Source organism: Homo sapiens, chromosome 22 (genome assembly GCF_000001405.40).
Source record: "Homo sapiens chromosome 22, GRCh38.p14 Primary Assembly".
Taxonomy (NCBI): Eukaryota; Metazoa; Chordata; class Mammalia; order Primates; family Hominidae; genus Homo; species Homo sapiens.
In genome coordinates, this window is record NC_000022.11 from 24,103,160 (window position 1) to 24,126,301 (window position 23,142).

The window sequence follows — 23,142 nt, forward strand, 5'->3', positions numbered from 1 at the left end:
CCTGTGATTTGGAGAGTGTGTTTGATGCGCTTGGCTTCTGCTGATGGCCTATCCTCCCAGTTCTGGCCAGAGGCAGATGCGGTGGGGGCCTCTTCTCCACTGCCCCCCTGCCTGCACCTCCAGCAGGTGGCCCAGTCCTATATTTCCATTGCTTTGCTCTTTCTTGCTTTAAAATAAACAACAAAGGCAACAGACTCTAACATACCAAATTATCTTTACAAGGACAAAGGTGTAAAAATGCAAATTGTGCACAGTAGCCTTGATGCTCTGAGGTGGGTCCTGTGTCTTCAGCCCACCAGGGCCAGGCTATGTAGGACGGGGAGCTGTGAATGCCAGTCAGTCCTAAAGGGCAGGCCCACCCTGGCCTCTGCTCAGTGACCTCCCCTCCTAGGGCTAAGGGGAGGTCAGTTTCTGGTTGGAGTGCCATTCCTAAACAGACCTTCTCAAAGTGGGAGAGACTGTAAGTGGAGCTCAGTTTGTTCTGCTTGTTCCTGACGGGCAGGGGACAGGGGAGGCTGTCAGCGAAGAGCCACTCACCTCTTTTGTTCTCTTCTTTCATTCTTAGCTTTTTGAAAACCTTTAGGAGTTAGCTGGTCACGGCATTTATTGAACATCTGTTGTGTGCCAGGCATGGAAAAGGGTGCCATGGGGAAAGTCAAGATGATGGTGCCTTGATTCCTGCTCCCAGGTTGGATCTGATGTCCCATGGTATCATGGGACAGTAGTTGGTGCCAAGGAGGAGTGCCATGAGCTGGCAGACGGGAGCAAGTTCTGGGGTTTGGTGGGTTGGGAAGAATTCCTGGAGAAGGTGAGTCTCTAGAGAGGCCTGCAGGCCCATTTAGACATGGAGCTTGGAGAGTCCTACAGCTTTTGGATACTGAGGTGACTGGGGTGGATGAAAAAGAGACTTTGAGGGGAGAGAGCTTGGGAAAGCAGCTGGGCTCTGAGGGTTGGGCTCTTTCCTGTGGGCAGTAGGGAGAGTGATGTGGTCACAGGATCTCTCTCTCTCTGGGCTCTAAGGAAGGCACAATTTTCCCCCCATCATCCTTTGAAGAGCCTTCCTGGGAAGCTCACTAGATGGCTGGGGGATGCCAGCCTCACACCTTACAGAACTGCTTCGCTTCTTCTGGCATTTGTATCAAGAGGGGCTGTTCACCTGCCTTTGGTCAGGAAAATGTTTAAAGCCTCCCGAGGCCTCCCTGGTCAGTGCCTTTCCTGGCTCAGAGGGCAGGATGAGAGATGCATGATGAGGCCTCCGAGCATCAGGCCCCTTCAGGGCAGCACCATGGTGTCTACACATATCAGGCTTCTGATATGTCTGCCAGGCTTCGAGGTGCCTGGCAGTGCTCAGTTGGCCCTCACCTGTGAGCACTGGCAAAGAATGGACAAGTGGTGCAGCCTGGCCCTCACACAATGCCGTCATGCCCACCTGCTGCCTGCTGTGTATCTTCCTCTCTCTCAGGGGCCCCCAGGTTTCTGGTACCACTTTTCTTTGGCATCCATCCAGTCTTCTCAGCCTGACAATGGGCACCCCGATTTCCCGGGCCAGCCTTGCTTCTGGTGGACGTGTTCTTTTCCTGTGGTTGGCCAGGATTGACTGAGGCAGCTTTTATCTAGTCAGAAAATTTCTCAAAATACTAATTCCACCCAAGTTTACGGTTCTTAGAAACCTGTTGTTTCCTGGTCGGCAGGACATTTGTGGTCTTTTCTGGGGCACTAGTCAGAGCTGTTGCAGTAGCACAAGCATACATCTTCTTCCTCAGGCTTTCACTGCCCCAGGCTGATGGAACAAATGGCCGTGAGCTGTTTCTGGTCTTACTGCTGGAGCAAATGGAGGAAACACACTTAAAGAGACACTGGAAAGTTGCATCTTGTAACTAAAGAGCTCTTTTAGGCTGGCCTGAGAATCCTGGGATTGTCCAAGGGATCTGAGCTGAGTCAGACCTGAACAAGGAGGACTCAGAACACAGAGTCTTTTCTCACACTGAGTGGGGACAGGCAGCCTTTCTGTCACTGAGCCAGGTCTCTTTCCCTCTGCGTTGCCAGCTGTCATTCCTTTACAGTTGATCCTGCAAATCCCACCCTGGAAGTAGAAGGTTCTGGAGCTTAGAGGGAGGCAGTTTAATAAGCACTTGGCTGGCAGACGCACATCCCCCTAAGGATTCAGAGGGAAGGCTGGCGTGGCCCAGATGCATAGACACGAAACATTCCAGTAATTAACAGTAACAATAAAATATTTATAATCTTGCCACAAATATTAATTAGTATGAGCAGGTTTTGTGTGGGCAGATTTTTAAAAGAACATTCTGAAAAAAAGAGCAAGGCCAACCTATAGCCTGCTTGCTAGTGCCATTCTTCTTTCCTGTTGGCCTCCAAGTAGCTCCCTAAAGAAATCAGCTCTCAGCTCCTGAGTCTCAAGGCTAGATACCTGGACTGTGGACAGTCCCTGGAGGTTCCATCCAGGGTGCCTGTTTCCCTGGAAGGCTCTCTCCACCCAGCCCCATAGGAAGTTTAGGCTAAGTCTGGCTCTCCTACATCAAAGAGGCTTTCCATCTGTCTCTTGCTCTGCCTCAGAACCAGGGGGCCCAGAACCCCCTCCTCACCCAAAAGCCCCTCCACAGAAAAACAGCTTGACTCTGACTTCTTCCATCTGGCCTTGCTCTATTAGGCGAGGCAGGAGAACAAAATGCCTCTGCCACCAGGCTTGGCAGCTTTTGTCTATAGAGCACAGGCAGACCCAGCCGGTCCTCTGAGGGCTCAGCACAGGCCATTAGCACACAAAGTTGCATGTCAGCCCATTTGAACCTAGGGCCACAGGATCCCAAAGATCCTGTGGAGGAGGTAGGACTGGAGCCAGGCCTGTAGGCTGTTCCTGAGGCCAGAATTCCCTCTCCACACATACTCAAAGACTCCCCAGTTCACTTGGGCAGCATGAGAGTGGTGCATTATGGTGCTAGGCTGCGTTCAGCTGTCTGGGAAGCGGGTGGAGTATGGCTCAGGGAGTGGTCCTTGCCCAAAGGTACATGGCTGATGGATGGGGGTCCTACCCCAGAGAAGAAGCCTTTGACCTGTGACCTCTTCTCCCAGAAGCCTTCCCTGTGCACACTGGCCCTTCCTTGGCTGCAGGTCTGGTAACCTGAGAGATGACCTTGCAGAGGGGCCTGCTGGGAGTAGAGAGATGACAGTAGTCAGCGGCATCCTTCCTTTTCCTCCTGCCCCTCTTCAGGGGCCTCCCAGAGCAGGGGCTTCCTGCTTCAGGAATGGGGGTGGCTCTGGGTTACACACCACAGTCCAAACAACCCTCCCTGCTGCCTGCCCTGCCAGCTTATCCAACTGCAGGGGTCCTGTTCTCCAAGAGCTTTTTCCCAGCACTGTGGCACATTGTCCTCCCTACCTTGACTCACCCAGCCCCTGGGCTGTCCCATCCACAGCAGCCCAGCTGGTGGCAGGATGAGGGTCCTTTTCACATGCTCTGCGATGTTCCTGGCAAACTTACCCCACTGTTCATGTCTGTCTGTCTGTCTTTCTGTCTGTCTGTGGCCTCTCTGAGGTCTTCAGTCAGCTGTACCAGAGAAAGTTTGCTTCCCCAGAAGAGGAGGAATGGAGGCTGGGGCACTGTCTGCCCAGGTAGATAGAGCCATTCTTTAAGAGCTTTTTCATTCATCCCTTTTGCCCTATTGACGTGAAAGAATTGAAACTTGGTGTTCTTTCAGTCTGACTGGCTTGAAACTTGGTATGAAACCTTGGGTTGACTTTTAGTATTTGAAATCAGGGTCATTTTAAATAGGCTGTGCCAACCCTTTCAGACACACAAGATCTGAAAGGAGCAGAAAATGGGCCTTGGGCCTTGAGTCCCTTTTGGTGGCTCTCATTTGAAGAGATAACACATCCCTGGACTCCTTCCTGTGGTGCTGCCCCCTTGGTAGTGGGCGGGAACCTTGGCAAGCACCTCCCCCACCTGCTTGCTTCACAGGCCAGTTGGGCATCTCATCTCTGTGTACATAGCCCCTGCCTCTCCAGCTCTGCCACAGCAGCCCACCCCAGCATCATGACCTGCAGGTGGCACCCAAGACTGTGGTGAGCCCCATTAGCAGAGCCTTCCTCAGGGCCACTTAGGTACCTTGATTACCCCTTAAACAAGGGTTTGTCTAGAATCACCACAATGCCCCCCAGGGCCAGTACCAATCTCTGCTCTCTGGTTTTTTAGATGGTTGGCAGTTCCAGATTCTCACATCTGTGTCTGAGAGGCTCAGGAAGGGCCTGGCAAAGTGTAGTCAGCAGCCTTTTGTCCCTGCCAGGTCCCTTGGCTTGTGCTTGCCCTGTTCCACTGCTGTGGATGTTATTTTAAGAGTCTCAGCAGAGTCCCCACTCAATTGGTGGTCGTTCTTCAGGGAGCAGAAGCCCCTGCACAGCATGCCGTCCTTTCTTGCCCACACAGTTCCTGGTGAGGTCTGGCCACCTTCACTGCCTGCTGGATGGATCCTGGTTCCTTCACATTGCAGCATCAAGAGGGTGTTAGCACTTTGAGAGTAAATATCTACTTGCCTAAACCAATCCTTAGTTTTCATAATGATCACAGCTGGGATTCCACCAAATTGGCAATTCCTTTAGGCCCAGAGCCCAAAAGAGCCTGTGAGCCGGTGAGCTCGTGGGGCAGCTTGCCAGTCGGTGAAATCATCCTAGCAAGGCTTGCTTCCTGGAGCTTGCCGCAGGATGTGCTGCTGAGCTGTGCAGTGACTTCAGCTAGTCTCAGGCTGGCTGAGGAGACCCAGCCCTAGCTTGTCTTTCAGGGAGACTTCAACTGCGGGGCATGGCCTGCTGTCTTTCAGAGACTCTGAGGCCTCACGAGCATTGTCTAAGCCATCGGTGTTCTCACTGTCAGGGCCAGAGTGAATGCTGCAGGGCTGTCACTTGTGTGCAGGGCACTAGCCACGCCTTTGTGGGATCCCATGTATGTGTCAGGGACAGAGGTAGGAAGACAATGGCAATCGTGTTAAAAAACCTGAAGTGGGGGCCTAGAGCAGCAAAATCATTTGGCCAAGATCACCCAACCCCTAAGTGGCAGATCTGGGATGGGAATGTGGGTCTGGGAGCCCAACCCTTAAGCTCCTACAATGACCCTGCGTGGCCTCTAGAGGGTCCCCATTGCTAATCCTCCCTTTACACACAGCCAGCAAATGGGCTGCCCCACCTCTTCTTGATCCCCTCATGCTGGGGACTCAAGTTTGGGACATTTTGTGAGGGCTGCAGGCCTGCTCATAACTGCCATTCAGTGCTCATGGAGCCTTGTATTCTGGCTTTGTAAGTCAGGGAAGAGCCTTTCACAAGCGTGAGAGAGAGGTTCTGGTCAGGTCTGTGCTCCTCCACTCAGGGGTCTTATACACGTCCCAAGTCCTCATTTCTCATTGTTCTGTCAGCCCAGCTGATACTGATGATCCATCAGTTCCTGGGCAGTGGACATGGCAAAGGCAGCTATGAAGGAAGGGCTATGGCAGGGATGCCTACAAGGTCACTGTCCCCAAACCCTGGTATATGATGAGACATGGGTAAAGAGGCCAGAGCAGCAGGGCACCCTTTGGAGCACAGACCTGATCCTCAGTATCCTCTGTGCAGGCCATCCCACTTTGACAGGCCTGTTGTGTCAATGTTGCCCCCCCATCTACATGGTGCTGCTTAGGTATTGGCTCCAATATGGCATCAGCAAAACCCTCTGCTCATTCAGACCTAAAGCTGTAATGGCACATTTGAGACATAAGAGATAAAACATGCTCAGGTTCTCTGAAATAATAGTATTGATAAACTGACATTTTGTGAACCTTTACTGTTTGTTAGGCACTGATTCAAACACTTTATGTGTATTAACCTAGTTAATCATAACAGTTCTGTGAAGTGGGTGCTTATGTTATCACAGTTTTACATGCATGGAAACTGAAGTATAAATAATTATGGCATTTACAGAGGCTCTCAGAGATAGTAGGTGACAGAGCAGAATTTCAGTTCTATCAGCCTGGATCTTCCAGAGTCCAGGCTTTCAACTTTTTTGAAACAACTTTATATTTTGCTTTTTTTTTTTTTTTTAGACAGGGTCTCGCTCTGTTTTTCCAGGCTAGAGTGGAGTGCAGTGGCACTATCACTGCTCAGTGCAGCCTCAACCTCCTGGGCTCAAGTGATCCTCCCACCTCAGCCTCCCAAGTAACTGCCACGCCTGCCTAATTTTTTTTTTTTTTTAATTTTTTGTACAGACGGGCATCTCCGTATGTTGCCCAGGCTGGTCTTGAACTGCTGGGCTCAAGCAATCCTCCCTCCTTGGCCTCCCAAAGTGCTAGGACTACAGGCATGAGCCACCCAGCCAAAACAAGTTTATATGTTGTTTCAAGTTTGCTTACCAGGCAGCTCATGCCTACCCTACCAGTAGGACCCAGCTGATTAGCACTAAAACATGGACCAATACCAGGCTTTTAAGGTAGCTGAGCAAAGGGTTGGTGGACCCTAGGGGACTGTGTCTGCCTTTCTCCTTGTGTTCCCCAAGAGGCCAGTGTGGCATGGACCTCTGTGAGATGATATGTGGTTGCAGTTTTTAGGTGCGAAAGGGACTTAACTTGCTCATGGTCTCAGCTAGTAAATGGCACAAGAGGAACTTGAACTTAGCTCTCTTGGTTGCTAGTTTATTGAGCTTCACCTTGAGGTATGTAAAGTTCAAGACAAAGTTTTATTTTTTAATAGTTCTCAGCCGGGCGTGGTGGCTCACGCCTGTAATCCCAGCACTTCGGGAGGCTGAGGTGGGTGGATCACCTGAGGTCAGGAGTTTGAGACCAGCCTGTCTAACATGGTGAAATCCCATCTTTACTAAAAATAAAAAAGATTAGCTGGGTGTGGTGGGGCACGCCTGTAGTCCCAGCTACTCAGGAGGCTGAGGCAGGAGGATTGCTTGAACCTGGGAGGTAGAGGTTGCAGTGAGCCAAGATCGTGCAATTGCACTCCAGCCTGGGCAACACAAGACCCTGTCTCAAAAAAAATTTTTTTTAAGTTCTATTTTATCTCTACTATTGGTTTATTATAGTATCATTTTTTTAAAAAAATGTAGTTGTTGCCTTAGGGTTAACAAAATACACCTTTAATTCATTGCAGTCTGCCTTCAGGTGATACTGTACTACTTCGTAGGCAGTGGAAGAGCTGCTCATCTTTTGCACTCGTTTTCATTCATTTCACTTTTACATATGCTCTAAGCCCACAATACATTGCTACTATTTTTGCTTTAGAAAGTAAACAATAATGTTTTAGAAAAATCGAACATAAAAAGATCTTTTATATTTACCATAACTTTAACCATTTCTGGGAAACTCCATTTCTTTATGTAGATCCAAGTTTTATCTGGCTTCATATTCATTCTACCTGAAAAATTACCTTTAACATTTCTTGTAACTCAGATCTGCTGGTAATGAATTCTCTCAGTTTTTGTTTGCCTGGAAAAAAACAAACCTTTTTTTTTCCTGCAATTTTTAGATATTTTCACTGAGTATAGAATCTTGAGTTGATTATTTTATTCTTTCAGCACTTTAAAGATATTGTCAGATATGTGTAATTTCTAATGAGAAGTCTGCTGTAATTCTTAACTTTGTCCCTCTGTATCTGATGTATCTTTCTCTGACTGCCTTCAACATTTTGTATCTTTGGGTTTCAGCAGTTTCAAAATGGCCCACCTAGGTGTGATTTTTTTTTTTTAAATGTGTGTGGAGGGATCTTTCCCTTGCTTGGTGTTTTCTGAGAATCTTGGTGATTTGATGTCTTTTATTATTTTTGGGAAATTCTTAGTTATTATGTCTTTAAATATTTCTACTGTCCTGTTTCACCCTCATCTCCTTTTGTGACTCCGATTAGCATGTTGGATCATTTGGATGCTCTGTTCTGATTCCTCCTGTCCACTCTTTTTCTCTGGGTTTGGATTACAGATGCTCCTCAACTTACAATGGGGTTATTTCCTGATAAAACAAAAGTAGGTTGAAATTAAGTCAGAAATGCATTTAATATACCTGACCTACCAACATCATAGTTTAGCCCAGCCTCATCTAAACATGCTCAGAACACTTGCGTTAGCCTACAGTTGGGCAAAATCATCTAACACGGGGGTCCCCAACCCCCAGGTCACAGACTGGTACCAGTCCGTGGCCTGTTAGGAACTGGGCTGCACAGCAGGAGGTGAGCAGCAGGCAGGCGAGCACTACCACCTGAGCCCTGGCTCCTGTCCAATCAGTGGCAGGCATCCTTAGATTCTTATAGGAGCGTGAACCCTATTGTGAACTGCACATGTGAGGGATCTAGGTTGTGCGCTCCTCGTGAGAATCTAATGCCAGAGAATAGTTTCATCCTGAAACTATCCCCTCCAGCCCCCACAGTCTGTGGAAAATTGTCTTCCATGAAACTGGCCCCTGGTGCCAAAAAGGTTGGGGACTGCTGATTTAACACAAAGCCTATTTTATGATAAAGTGTTGAATATCTCATGCAAGAATATTGTACTGCATATCACTAGCTCAGGAAAAGATCAAAATTCAAAATTTGAAGTGTAGTTTCTACTGAATGCATATCACTTTTGCATCATTGTAAAGTCAAAAAAATTTTAAGTTGAACCATTGTAAGTTGGAGATTGTCGGTATGTCTAGTGACCTGTTTTCAAGTTTTGATTTCCTTTTGCTCCTCAGCTGTGTCAGGTTGGCTGCAATGTCTGGGAAAGGCATTCGTCATCTCTGTTACTGTGTTTTTTATTTCTAGCCTTTGCATTTGACTCTTGCTTTTTTTTATCTCACTGCTGAAATTTCCTGTCTCTTCATGCATATTGTTCAGCTTTTCCACTACAGCCTTTGACATACTAATCATATTTATGAATCATATTAATCTTAGTTATTTTAAATTCCCTGACATGTAGTACCAATATCTGGGTTATCTGTGAGTCTGGTTCTGCTGATTGATTTGTCTCTTGACGATGTACTTTTTTCTTTCTTTCTTTGTGTGTCTTACAATTTTTACATTGAATACCAGATATCACGTGTAGGACAGAAGAAACTGAAATAAGTAATATTTATGCCTGGAATAGGCTTCCCTCTTTTGTTTCTAGGCTTTTAGTAGGGAAAGTTGAGTTAGGCTAGTCAGAAATTGAGCTGGCTTGGGTTTTGTTGTTGCTATGGTTACCTTTAGTGCCCCAGTGGTGCAATCATAGCTCACTGCAGCCTTAACCTCCCAAGCTCAAATTCCTTTCATGTTACCTTGTGCTTAGTAGGGGAGCTGGTTTGCCACAAGGTTTTTCTCAACATTCCAGTTCCACCTTCAGCCTTAGGCCTTTGGGAGTACCTCAGGGAGGGTACTCCTCCATGTTCTTGCCTTCTCCCTGCAGTAGACTCCCTTGCTTGTTACTCAGTGCATGCCAGCCTAGGGTTGGGGACATGGGGTAGTTCTCTGTTGTCTTGGTCCCAGCCTCAGACTTAGGTGGGCTCTGTGTTCCTGCATCTCAGGGGTGGTGCTTTCTCAGTGATTCTGCCCGTCCTTCAGTGGTAGGAGACCTCTAATGTTTGGACCCTAGATGATTTCCTGCCCCTCCCTTAGAATAGAAGGTTTTTCCTTTTCCCTTCCCCAGCTGCAGTGGGTCTTCACCTGTACCCTGAAAGCAACAAGGTTTCCTCCCCCACCTCCATGCCTGAAGGCTTCTGTTCCTCCAGGTAGGCTTTGTACCTTTTCCATAGCATCAACTACTCCTCCCCTCCAGATCTGCACTACTCCCAGGAAGGTTTCCTCAACTTCCCTCTTTGCCCCGCCCCTTTTCTTTCTCATGAGCACCTGTGAAGGTCCGAAGAAGGCAGCCAGTGAGTGAGTACAAACTCCTTTTACATCTGTGGCTCCCAGAGATCTAGAGTTCTTCCAGATCACACCTGGCTTTTACTAACAGGTTAAAAATGTTTCCTGAATTCTTTCCCACTTCATTTGTTTCTGTTATATTTATATGGTAGAAAAACTACATAGTGGTGGCTACTGTGCATCTCTTCCTAACTCCACATTTGACAACAGCACGTTGGTAACTTGAAAATTGCCATGGTGGGAATATTTACACTCCAGAAATCAGTAAGTGCTATTAATCAGGGCTTTCTTTTTCCCTGAGAGCCAGTTGTTAAACATTTACCAGAATACCACTGTTTGGGGGAACCCCAGGAGGGTTGACCATGGAGATTGGTGCATTTGGTGAGTTGCTCCGTGGCCTCTGGGATGGGTTGGGCCCAGCAGTGTCGAATGGCTGTGTTCAGGCCATCTCCTGCAAAGCAGTCCCCAGGCCACCGGCAGGGAGACTCACCATAGGAAGGCCCCCTGTGTTGGAGGTGGTGTAGGTTAATGCTCTCGCCCTCTCTTCCTCCTTCTCCCCTCAGACCGAAGCCAGGACAGCACAGCCGTAGCACTCTCAGACTCTAGCTCAACGCAGGACTTCTTTAATGAGCCCACCAGCTTACTGGAAGGCTCCAGGAAATCCTACACAGAGAAGAGGCTGCCCATTCTCAGTTCCCAAGCAGGAGCGACGGGTAAAGATCTTCAGGGGGCCACAGAAGAAAGAGGTATGAAGCCCTAACTCGGTGAATTAGAACCACTTTGATGTCCTGTGGCAATCTGGGCAAAGCCGAAGGCTTCGTGGCCCAGGGACCTTGGCTGGGCAAGTCACTTACTCCCTGGGCCTCCATTTTTCTCCCTGTAGGATGAGAATGGTCCCAGTGCCCGCCCTGGGGTTGTGAGGGTTGAGTGAGGCAGCTCCTGAGGGTGCACACAGAGCCCAGCACCACATGTGCTCAGGGATGCTGCCTGTTGTTGTTATGACCCTCACAACCCAGCCCGGGAAAGCCATGTCTGTGATATCAGTGTGCTCTGTTTTTGTTGTTGTTGTTGTTGTTGTTGTTGTTGTTGGTAAATGGTTATTTTAAAAGTCTTTGGATCCTAAATGTCACAAATGTGTTTTCCTTTTAGTTTGAATCATATGAGGTCTTCAGGAAAAATCTCTCTTTTTTGGGGAGGGGGGCAGAGAGCCCTGATTTAAGCCTGGGGGTGTGCCCAACTCTCCTGGGGGGTCCAGGCCCCCTTTATAGAAATCAGTTGGCAGAGCCCCACATCTGGGCTTACTGGGAGATCACAGGCAGGCTGGGGCTTTCCTGGCCCCACTCTGAGGTGTGGCTGGTCAGCTATAGATTTGAGAGCTTTCCCACTCTGGCCAGGGCCAGGGCTTACACGTGTTCCTCAAACAGTAATAACAACAACCCAGCCCCGTACTCTTTTCTGTGCTGGGCACTGTGTTAATTCATTTGGTTCTCCCAAGCACCCTAGAAAAAAAGCACAATGACTATTCCCATTTTATAGCTGAAGAATATGAGATTCAGAGAAGGTCTGGAATTTGCCCTGTCAGTGTACACCCTTAACCATTACCCCACGCTACCTCTCCGGGTGGGATGGATGGATGGATGGGGAAAAACGCTGGTGATAAACTGCCTCCCTGAGGGACCCAGGCCTTGTCCCAGGAAGTCTCAGAGCAAGCCCTGGATGGGAGCTCACACATAGGTGTGGCAGTGGGGCCAGAGCCATTTACACTAAGAAGACCTCTCCTAGCTCTCTGCTCCCTGCCAGCCTCCCCTGGCTGGACTTAGAAGGGCATGAGACCACATCTCCAGTAGATTGGAAGTATCCCCATTAGGGGACACCTGATAGAGACACTAGAGAAGAGGGCACAGAATGGAGGACTTACTATGTGGATTTACTTGTATCTGGTCCTCATCAAGAGATGAGGCCACCACCCCACTCTCTAACCAGGCAGTCACTATGCAGTCGCCAGCCAGTGTTGACATTCTGTAACTGACATAAACACACTGTAGGAAGTTTGGAATGGGAAGGAAAAAGGTAACTTACACTCTTAACACTATAATACAGCATTTCTGTTTTTAAAAATAAGATTTTTAAAACTTATCAGACAAGTAAGACCTACCATGTGTGCTCTGTGGCCTGTCAAGCCGTGACTGCTGTAGGTGCCATTGTGTCATCATGAGCTTCTTTCCCACTTAAATGGGGAAGGGGACATGGGTGTTGGGGGAACGAAGCAGAGAGTGAGTTGGCTTTGGTCTGGCACAGCCTATACAGGCCCTTCTAGACTCATGAAGAGTGTCCTGCCTCTTCCCTCCTTCCATTAGAGCCAGTGGTTTAAGCAGACAGTTTGTGGGGCTGGCCATTGGTGAAGAAAGTTAGGGTAGGACCAAAGGTCACCACAATAGCTGATAAGCATGAAATGAAACCTCTTGCTTCCATGGCCATGTTGCTCCTCTCTAAGCCCAGCTTTTCTTGGTAACCATGGTGGTGAAGTTGATCAACTTCCTGTTGTAAGAGCAGGTATGGCAGGGAATGCTTCCCAAGCCCACAGCCAGCAGATAGTTCTGGGAGCAGAGCACTCATCCAGGCCTAGTCTTGGTCAGTGGTGGTCTCTAACACGCACTCCCCTGATCTCCCATTGGGTAGCAGCCTGGCCATCACAGTCTGCAGTACTTGAGCAGCCTTTGGCCTCCCTGCAGAAAGCTGGGACAGCAGTGCCTAGGCAGTGTTGAGTGCGGGCCCCAAGTGTGCTCCACACCACTTGCCTTCCCAGCACACCCTCATGGAGAGTCCTACCACCAGCCTGCTGCTTCCTCCATCATTAATGTTGTGGGGTACAGGCCCTCACTCACGCGTATTTGTTATCAAGCAGCAGGGCACAACAGGTCCAGATCTGCACCATGCACTGGGTACCGAGGGAAAGCAGAAACAGATCTGACTGCCACATCCTGCCTGGCATGAGATGCGCTCCCTCCCACCGTGTCTAGCAGGCACAAGCTGTCACACTGCCCGAGGACCAGCCTCCTTCCTTTAATTCTCCAGAAGCTGTCTTTCTCCACTCTGGCCTTGACCGAGGTGCCTTGAGGAAAGAGCCTTTCCCAGAAGTGACTGTTGCAGCTAGCGGAAGCTCACCTTTGCAGGGGGCAGAGCTTCAAAAAAAAAAGTCTAAAATATGAAGGTCGCAAGAGTAGAGATTTATTTATTTGATCTAGGGAGAAAGTTGTCCACAGTTTCATCACTTAAACACAAGCCCACTCTATCATATCGTTCTGAGGGCAAGAGGGTAAAACCCAAAGCAGAGTTGACAAGCACCTGTTGTGATCCAGGCAGTGGACACAAGGACATGCCAGAGTGGCCACATCTGCCCCTTCCTGGTCAACTAGAGGCCTAGTGACAATGCCCATGCACCACATGCAGGATAGGGTGATAAATGGTTGTCGGTGGGGGGAGGCCACCCTGGGGGCAGTTGACCTGCCAATGCCCAGCTTCCTTCCCATCTTGCCTGCCCACCCTTTGTGGAAAGCATCCTCACTGGGCTCTTTTCTCAGGCCAGTAGAGTTTGAGTAAGACGATCTCAGAAGTCAAAAGAGACAGACTTGAGGTCCTTGCTGGGGCATATTTTGGTCTGGGCCTCTCAGCTGTTGGTGTCTTGCCAAGATGTGTAGCCACCTGAGGGCCAGGCTTTTCCATAATGAGGCCCCCTGAGTTCACTAGGCCATCAGTACACATCAGTCCAGAGGCTCAGCTGGGGGCATGTCTGTGCCTTATTCTTCTTAGGACCTCCATGGGCTGATGTGGATCAGATGGCTCCTGTGCTCTGTTGGCCTTGGCATATGCACCACAGGCATTCCAAGCCAGTCTTCCCTGCCTGCGGCAGGCACCAGCCTAGGCTAGAGCAGCCAGAACACACATTTTACTTGCTTTTTCTTGGTAGAAGGAAGTTTTCTCATCTTCACGCAGCTAGGGTTAGAATTGGACATCCTGGCCGGGAAACGTGGTGTAGTCCTGTTGGCATTTCTGACCCTCTTTCTTCCAGTAAGGAAATGGAGGGCTCTAGTGACCTGTGAGGCCTGTTCAGCAGTGGGAGTGGATGCTGTGTGTAAGGCAGCTCGCCCCATCTCTCCGGGGCCCCTTAGGCCACCCAGACCCCTAGGCAACTGATTGTTGTTGTTGTTGTTGTTTCTGAGACAGGGTCTTGTCCTTGTTACCCATGCTGGAATGCAGTGATGCAATCATGGCTCACTATAGCCTCAACCTCCTGAGCTCAAGGATCCTCCTGCCTCAGCCTCCCGAGTAGCTGGAACTACAGGTGCCACCACACCTGCCTAATTTTTTAATTTTTTTGTAGAAATGAGATCTTGCTGTGTTGCCCCAGGCTAGTCTCAAACTCTTGGCCTCAAGCAATCCTCTCACCTTAGCCTCCCAAAGTGCTGGGATTACAGGCGTGAGCCACCACGCCCAGCCTAAAACTGGGTTCTTGTTTCTCAGGGGTTTTTTTGTTTGTTTTTTTGGGGGGGGGGTTAGGTTTAATAGGCAAAAGAAATAGAAAAGAGAATAGCTGTCTCTCTGAGAGAGGGGCGGCTGAGCGGGTCTTCCCTGAAGCTGGGTTTCTGACTCAGTCTAGGATTGCTGTTTTCTTCCTCTTTATGTGTTCTAAGGACTCTGGCTGAATTCTTGACCCTCTGCCTGCTTTCCATAAAAATTGTGCTCTGTGTGTCTTTGTGTCCAAGCTCTCAGTGCCTGATGTGAACCGCTGAGAGGCCTGCATCATCATCTGATTCCTCTGTCTCCCCCGTGCCTAGCACAGGGCTGATCCCAGCATTATGGCTTACCCTGTTTGGTGAGCCACATTTTGAACACATTAGAAACCTGGCACATTTTTTAATAAAGTGATGGTATCCCCTGTAAGATGGGTGCCAGCCCTAAGCTGTGGGACGCAGGCAACTTCTTGAGCTCACATGAGAAGACAGTGTAGTGTGGAAGGAGCTAGGACCTCCTGGCATTCAGTCATTAGGGCCACCTCAAAGGGTAGGGGGAGGGGGCAGCCCATGGTAGGCTCTGGGCCTGGGGGAGGGGAGATGCTCTTATGGCTTTTCTTTGCCAACACCACTGGGGGCAGCGATGCAGGGGAGGGAGAAGGGCAATGGCTCCAGGAGAAGGAGTGATGGTGGAGAGGCAAGGACACTGAGGGAGAGCAGTGGGGTGGGCTGCAGGGGAGCAGGGAGGGAAGGTCAGACTAATAGCAGGTGGCTGAGGGGAACATAGGGAGTGAATGCTCAGATTCTTTCCTCAACGAGAATAGTGATGGTGGGCAACCTGGCCACACACCTGATGTCTGCAGATAGGCTTCGACTTAGCATGCGGAGAACTGGGGGCCTTGGTTGTTGCTGACTCGGCCCTGCCCCAGCAGGCCCCAGCTATCTCCAGGCTGCTACTACAGTAGGGAGAGGGCTCAGCCATCGCATACCACCTCAGAGCTGGTGCTGCTGGCTGCTTCTCTGGCCTCCTCCAGGCAGGCTGTGCAGGGCGTGCCGTGCTCCTGAGTGCCTAAGGAGCCACAGACCACAGGACCCCTTGCCTTTATCCCTTGCTCCCCAGCCCTTTCCATCTGTCCCACCCTCCCGGGCCAGATAGCTTTCTTCTTCTGTAGCCAAGGAGCCTGCACCTCAGGGTCTAGCCCAAGGTCATCCAGGCCACTGTCATCATCCTGGGGCCAGCCGTGCAGCACCACCACCCAGCCTGGGCTATCCTGATGTGAACTGCTGCCCCATGGCCCCTGGTGGAGCAAGGCTGGGTGTTCAGGAGCTGGGCTCATGTCACATGAGGGCCCATGTGGGAGCACTTGGCTCACATATAGCAGCGGCAACCCTGGAGAGGGAGTTGGGGCAGGCAGTGGGCTGAGCACTGAGCAGGGGAGCAGGTATGATACTTCGTGAACCCTGGCTGTGTTTTATGCGATGCTGGTGGTGGCAACACCTGCCCTTTGTGGGCTGCTTCCCCATACCCCAGCCCCAGAGGTGGGACAGCCTGTGCCACCGTTCAGAGGGGAAGACCCAGAGCCCAGCCCATAACTTCCCCTCTCTGTAGCCTCTGGGTCCCTCACTGCATGCCAGCTGGGACAGCCTGTTTCATGGAGCGGGAGACCTCGGTTGGGGCAGAGCCAGCACTGGGCCCTGTGCCTCCTGCTGCTGGGTCCAGCATCCACTCAGCAAGGGCATTGATCCAGCCGTGCTGATCACTTCACCAAGGCGCCTCCGTTACTGGTGGTAGACCACTGCATGGACAGGGCCTAAAACCAGGGTGACTTTCTTTCCCTTCTTCTCAACTGTAGGAAAAAACGAGGAGTCATTGGAGAGTACAGAAGGCTTCCGGGCTGCAGAGCAAGGTGTCCAGAAGCCTGCTGCAGAAACCCCAGCCTCTGCTTGCATCCCTGGCAAGCCCTCAGCATCCACACCCACCCTGTGGGATGGGAAGAAGAGAGGGGACCTCCCAGGGGAGCCAGTGGCCTTCCCCCAGGGGCTGCCGGCTGGTGCTGAGGAGCAGCGGCAGTTTCTCACAGAGCAGTGCATCGCCTCCTTCCGCCTGTGCCTGAGCCGCTTCCCCCAGCACTATAAGAGTCTCTACCGTCTGGCCTTCCTCTACACCTACAGCAAGACCCACCGGGTGAGTGGCTGCCGGGCCAAGGGGGCTTGGATCTTCCCAGGGCAGCTGGGCATCTTTGAAGGTTGGTGGGCAGAGCTAAGACAGATTGGAGCTTCACGGTAGCAGCACATGGGAGGGATGGGCGAGGAGAGCTGCAGGAGGCAGGGCCAGCCCCAGGAGTGGGCCAGCTTGCCAGGGAACCTGGTGGTGAGGGCCCAGGGTCACAGCCAGGAATGGAGGGAGGAGTGTAGGGGGTCTCACAGTCTCAGGGATAGGCTATGGGGTGAGGGATAAGGGTCCATAGGCTCAACTACTCTTTCCTGTGAGGGCTGTGCAGCAACTCAAACTCTGATGTCGTGCTCCCTCACCCCTGCCATTCACCCATCGTCTCAGTGACAGCAAGCCCGTCTTCCAGGTGCCCTAGGGGCCCTGCTTACTCTCTGTTCTGGCCTTGCTTGCCCTAGGCCCCATCTCTCCAGCTGCATATTGCAGGGGCCTCCTCACCATACCCTGCCCCTGGGCTCTTGTCGCTGGTGCAGCTGCCAAAACCATCTTCACAGCCTCTGCTTCATGGGGGTTGGGTGCTGACAGCCTCCTCCAGCTCTTTTTGGAAAGCGGATGATGTAGCGATCCTTAACAGCTGTGCCCCAGGCTTAAGTGCTTCCAGGGGCTTCCCAGCCAGACCTCTTCTGCTGGCGTTTAGATTTGGGGAGGTAATGTGGCCTGGGCAGGACGTAAATAATAGGGGTGACTTTATTTTCCTTTAGTCTCTCACCCAGGAGGTGTTGGGGAGTGTCCTGGTCGTTGTCCTGCACCATGTAGCTACATTCTAAGGGGGAGGCAGACTTAAAAACATACAGATGGCCAGGCGTGGTGGCTCACGCCTGTAATCCCAGCACTTTGGGAGGCTGAGGCAGGGGGATCACCTGAGGTCAGGAGTTGAAGACCAACCTGGTGAATCCCCGTCTCTACTAAAAATACAAAAGTTAGCCAGGCATGCTGGCATATGCCTGTAGTCCCAGCTACTCGGGAGGCTGAGTCATGAGAATTGCTCGAACCCGGGAGGCAGAGGTTGCAGTGAGCCAAGATTGGGCCACTGCACTTCAGCCTGGGCAACAGAGCGAGACTCATCTGAAAAACAAAAATAATAAATAAAAAATAAAAACATGCAGATGAGTAAAGCAAGTCTCATTTGAACAATACCACAGAGAAAATAACGGGGGGCATAGAGGGGTGAGGGTGCTGTTGTGCCTCTGCAAAGACACCTTTTGTGCTGAGACCTGTATTGTAGGGGACAGCATTGGTCTGGAAGGAAGGGAGAGCACCCAGACAGAGCAAGCAGCCCAGGAAGGTGGCCATTCTGGGCTGGCATTGGTGTAGGCGAGGGCCAGAGAGGGCCAGGTATGCTGGGCAAGCAGGGGTGACCTTTAGGGCCTAGCTGTGAGGACTCAGTCAGGTCCTCCTCCTAGAGGTCTCCTGCTGGCTCCCCCCAGCATCCTCAGTGGAATGTTTGAAGAACCAGAATGGACAGTTGGCCAAGAGATGGGCCCTGGCTTGGCACTGGCTATGTGCAGGAAGTGGCACTTCACAGAATTCTGTTTGGGGGACTAGATACAGGGGTCCAAGAAGGTAAGTGCTGTGTCCCCACAGTGACCGGTATGCTCATGTGACTTGGTTGATTTCCTCAGGGCACAGCAGGTGACACAGGTCTGGGAGGGAGGGAGTCTCATCATCTGGGGCTTTGGTCTGTAGTTCAAGGTGCAGTGCATGCTAGCAAACGATGGCCAGCTCCGGCTTCCCTGGCTGTTGGTGCCACACTGGAGCCTGGCTTGCTCACTGCTCAGCCTCCACTTGGCAGTGGACCTTACCTCTGTATCCCAGGCCTTCTGCACCCAGGTGGACCTGGGTCTTAATAAACCCCAACCAGCATGTCCTCACTGCTGAAGCCGTCTTTGGGCCTGAGGGGCAATGGCTGATATGAACTCTGTTGGGCTCACCATTGCTTTGGGAACTTTCCCCTTTCCCTCTTTTGGGAGCAGCAGAGCCCACTGCAAGAGCCCACACACACATCAGTGGAACGGACACTAGTAACCATTGTCCTGTCCTCCCCCACCTCTGGTGTCCTTCTGTTCAAGTGCCTCCTCAGGCAGCCATGCAGCCCCCTCCAGCTGTGGTCAGCTCTGACCAGGATCTGGTGTTCCCTAGTAGTGAGCTCAGACCCTTCCTCATCCTGTTACAGGGTACCTTCTCAAGAGGCAGATGTCGAGATGGAATTTCGGGTACAAAATATGTATTAGGAATTGGCACCTGTGCAAGGGAAGTGGGGAAGGACAGCAGGTTTGGGTGGGAGGAGAGTTGAGTAGCGATACGGGCCCCACCCACCCACCCTCCACTTCCCTGCTAAATGGCTTTATGTTGAATTTGAAGGAGCCAGTGCATATAAAGTGCTTAGCTCAGCACTAGACACAAAATGCTGTTATTACAGCCTGCCCCTTCTCTTGATGATTTTTTTAGAAGTAGAAAACAGTATTTATGTCAAAATTAAAAGTTGGAGGGAGGTAACCACAATTCTGCCACCCTAAAACTAGCTCTCTTGGGTCTAGTACAGGTTGAATATCCTTTATACAAAATGCTTGGGACCAGAAGAGTTTTGGATTTTGGCTTTTTTCAGATCTTAGAATATTTGCATTATACTTCTGGCTGAGCCATCGCTAAGCCAAAAATCTGAAATCCAAAATGCTCCAATGAGGCTGGGCACGGTGGTTCACGCCTGTAATCCTAGCACTTTGGGAGGCTGAGGCGGGTGAATCACCTGAGGTCAGGAGTTCAAGACCACCTTGGCCAACATGGCGAAATCTTGTCTATACTAAAAATACAAAAATTATCCAGGCGTGATGGTGCACACCTGTAATCCCAGTTAATCAGGAGGTTGAGGCAGGAGAATCGCTTGAACTGGGGAGGCGGAGGTTGCAGTGAGCCGAGATCACGTCATTTCACTCCAGCCTGGGCGAAAGACCAAAACTCCCTCTAAAAAAAAACAAAAACAAAAAACCAAAATGCTCCAATGAGCATTTCGTTTAAGCACCAAAGTTTCAGATTTTGGAACAATTTGGATTTTAGATATTCAGACTTAGGATGCCCTACCTGTATTTCTTCTCAACTCCAATACACATGCCCTGTTGATTGTGTGCTTTCGAGACACCAGGTACACCAGGTCCCAGAGGTGGGATCATACCCCTTCTACTTTGCATCTGGGAACCTGTTCTGAGGGTCACACAGAGCTGAGTGACAGAGCCAGACATCAGCCCCAGGCAATCTCATGCTGGCCCAGTTGCTGCACCATTCCCCACACCCTGTCCACACTCATAGTTTGCCATTTTGCTCTTACCATGAATGCCCCCTCGCCAGGTCATTTTGGTCATCTGTGATGGTCCAGGGTAGGCGGGCCAGTTGACCCAGCCATCCCCACCCAGTAGCAGGGATGGAGGCTGCCTTGGGCTGTCTGCACCATTGATGTCAGTATCCCCAGACAACCCCCAGTAGCCATTAGCCTCAGTTTCTGCCAGCTTTTCTGTTCGTTGCATTCCCAGGCTGAGTTCCTTGGTTCTCAGAAATGGAATGCTATCTTGAATCTTAGACCCCTTAAGCAGCAGACACTCCCTACCCACAGCCACACTGCCTACCCACAGATCTGCTTCCAGGAGGCAGCTCTGCAGGTGCCAAGTGTGCCTCAGGTAGCCTCGGGCCACTGAGCTCATTCTAGACCTTGCATATGCTGGGTCTAGGGTGGTTCCCATTGGCTTCTGTGTTTGCTTCACCCAGAAACCTTTGCTGAGCACCAGTTACCACCACCAAATTGAATGCAGGTTGTTAACACCTAGCTCCCCTGAGAGCCTGAGTTAAGACCTTCCTGCTGCTCTGGGGCATGCCATCCTGGGGGCTGCATGTGGCTCTGCCCAGACCTGGGGTGTCAGCTCTGCTGGCAGCAGCTTGTTCACAGATCTGGGGGACACAACTCCATGTTGTCACTGACTAATGTGGAACCATTAACTGGGAAGTAGTTACCACTTTCCAAACACAGCTGTTTGTTAACAAACACTTCCCGCTGTGTATATTTGACAGCAGCACATTTCTTCATAAAATCCTGCCTGTGGGCTTGGCAGTGCCTTTTTCTTGTTGCCATCTCACAGCTCACTGGTGGACTGGAGCATCCGATGTCTGCCTCTTCAAAGGGGCCCACAAGCAGAGCCTGCCTGGAGCTGTGTGGTTGACTCCTGAACCCTCAGGTCTTTCACAGACACCTCCAGGTGAGGCTCTGCCTGCCCAGGCCTTGGAAAGAAACCGCCTTCAGGGCACAGTGTGCCACTTGCTTAGTTGCTGACAGCAGGGCTTTTGGGGGAGGAGGAGAGAATGTGGGCTCTGAAGCTGGCCTCACCTGGGTTCAGATCCTCGCTCCGCATGGGAACTCTTGGAGGTCCAGGGCTCTTCTTTCCTCGATGAGAATGATAGTGATATGAAAGCAGAATTATTGTGTTAATGAGGTGAGGGATGCAGTGCTGGGGCAATGTCCAACATACCCTGCACTGCCCTCAGCCAACAATCCTTCTCACCCATATAGTGAGACCCATTTCTTCAGTGTCAGCATCTCCCATGGCTCCTTACTCCTCTGCCAGGCCCTCTGAGGGCTCCCTGCCTGGGGCATAGTGGCCAAGGGCTAGGTCTGTCCTGAGAGACCTTTGTTGCCTGCCTGAGGCTGCCCTCCCTCCCAAGGTTGGCACTGCTGCACACAGGCTGCCCCTGGACCCCCCAAGGCAGTCCACCTGTTGCCCTGCACACTGTGCACACCTTAGATGGGGATGATCATTTATGCTGATAGCCATAAGGGCCCTAATTCTAGCTACCGTATCACTTACTCTCTGGATCACAATCTTCACCAAGATTTTGAGGCCTGAGTCTACACTCATAGAAACCTGGCTCTTTGAGCCCATATAGGCACCCCAGGAGAGAGAGCACATGGCATCAGACACCTCTTGTCATGAAGGTTCTGGCCTTTACTGATGGGTGTCCAGGAAAAAGGCCAAGGCATAGACACCCCTGCCCTGCTCTCCCAGTTGCCTCCTGCTCAGCTGGGAGCTGAGCCCCTTCACCTCCTGCTACTTCTGCTGCAAGGGGTTCAAGGCAGAGGGGGTTGGTTATAAGATGTTCCCTGGAGCCAATAATCTTGAATGAAAACAAAGCTGGAGGACTCATACTTCCCAGTTTCAAAACATACTACAAATCTATAATATACTAATCAAAACAGTATGGAATATTAGCCTTAAAAAGGGGGGAAATTCGGTCACATCAGACAGCATGGGAAACCTAGAGGACATAATGCTAAGTGAAATAGCCAGTCACAAAAGACAAATACTGGATGATTCCACTCAGATGAGGTATGAGGAGTAGCAGCCTGGCAGCGCTAGCCCAATCAGACCCCATTTCTTTGGCCCGGTACCTATATGGGATGAGCCCAGGCCCAGGGTTTGGTTAGAGACAGACTCCTGCCAGGGGGGCCCCACAGGGGTGCTGTGTGCTCAGCTGAAGGATCACCAGGGAATCTGCTGACTTTTGACTTCAGGGTCAGCTGGTGCTCTGGTGTGAGCCTGGGTAAAGGACAGGTCAGCTGGGTGTGAACCCCCACCCCTTGCCCCCCTGTTGTGAGTACAGTATCCCCACCTGCCTGTGCTGCTGGCTCATGTGGGGGACCCGTAGAAGCCAGGACTATCGTGCAGGTTAAACGAGAGGGCCTCTGAAGTGGGCCCTGCACCATTAGACTGGAGCAGGTGTGAGGGCCTGCTGTTGAGACCCTGCTTTTTGCTCACAGGCAAGTGTTCGGGGGGAGCTGGTGAGCTTTGAGTTGACACTGACTGAGCCAGGACCACACAGATAGTAGAACCAGGCATCAGGAGGGCATGCTGGCCACAAAGCAGGGTGTTCGCCTGCCTTTAACCTTTGCTCCCTTTCTGTGGACATAAAAGTGGCCCCTTCCACAAAATGGTGGTGTGCCCTGCATCCTCACATGGATGTCCTAGGCTGCTGCAGCTCCCAACCAGCCAGGTTCTTGTCAAGCTTTAGTTTGTATAGTTTGCAAAAGGAGAACTTGATATTTTTCTGAACTTAGGAATCTTGATTTTGTATTTCAGTCTGTCTGCCTCATGGTTTGAAGATTCTACTGGGCCCTTAGGTGCCAGAGGAGGTGGGACAGGTTGCCCCCATACTGGCTGCTGCTTTCCTGGTCCTCTCTCCTGCAAAGAAATGCAGATTCCAGCAGTTTGAATAGGTTTGAGCACTCTGCCAGCAGCTTTTATTACCAATAATATTGTTTAAGCTTGGAAAAGAGAATGAAACTACCCACAACTGTCCCACAAGCCATGACATGGCAGAAGTGTTTGTGTTTCGTGTGCTCCCCCCAGTGTGTTTTCTGTGCATCTCTGCAGGTTCACTCATTCAGCAGCTGTCTACTGAGTGGTTGTCACGCAGGAGGTTCCTGTTTGAGGTGCTGGGGATATAGCATTGTGTACTCACTGGGAGAATAGTGTGGGCAGCTAGTGATGAGTAGGAAGAAAAACAAAGCTTGGTAAGGGG

General features: G+C 50.8%; 1 protein-coding gene across 48 annotated transcripts in view; it reads left to right on the plus strand.

Moving 5' to 3' along the window:
- The window catches only part of CABIN1 (calcineurin binding protein 1), a 167,325-nt gene that overhangs the window by 91,856 nt on the left and 52,327 nt on the right, over window positions 1–23,142 (plus strand). For all 48 annotated transcript variants that reach the window (XM_047441218.1, XM_047441219.1, XM_047441226.1 and 45 more), the window contains 2 exons: window positions 10,407–10,589; window positions 16,208–16,539. In XM_047441218.1, coding sequence (XP_047297174.1) covers window positions 10,407–10,589; window positions 16,208–16,539 — 515 coding nt within the window. The remainder of the gene's footprint in view (window positions 1–10,406; window positions 10,590–16,207; window positions 16,540–23,142) is intronic.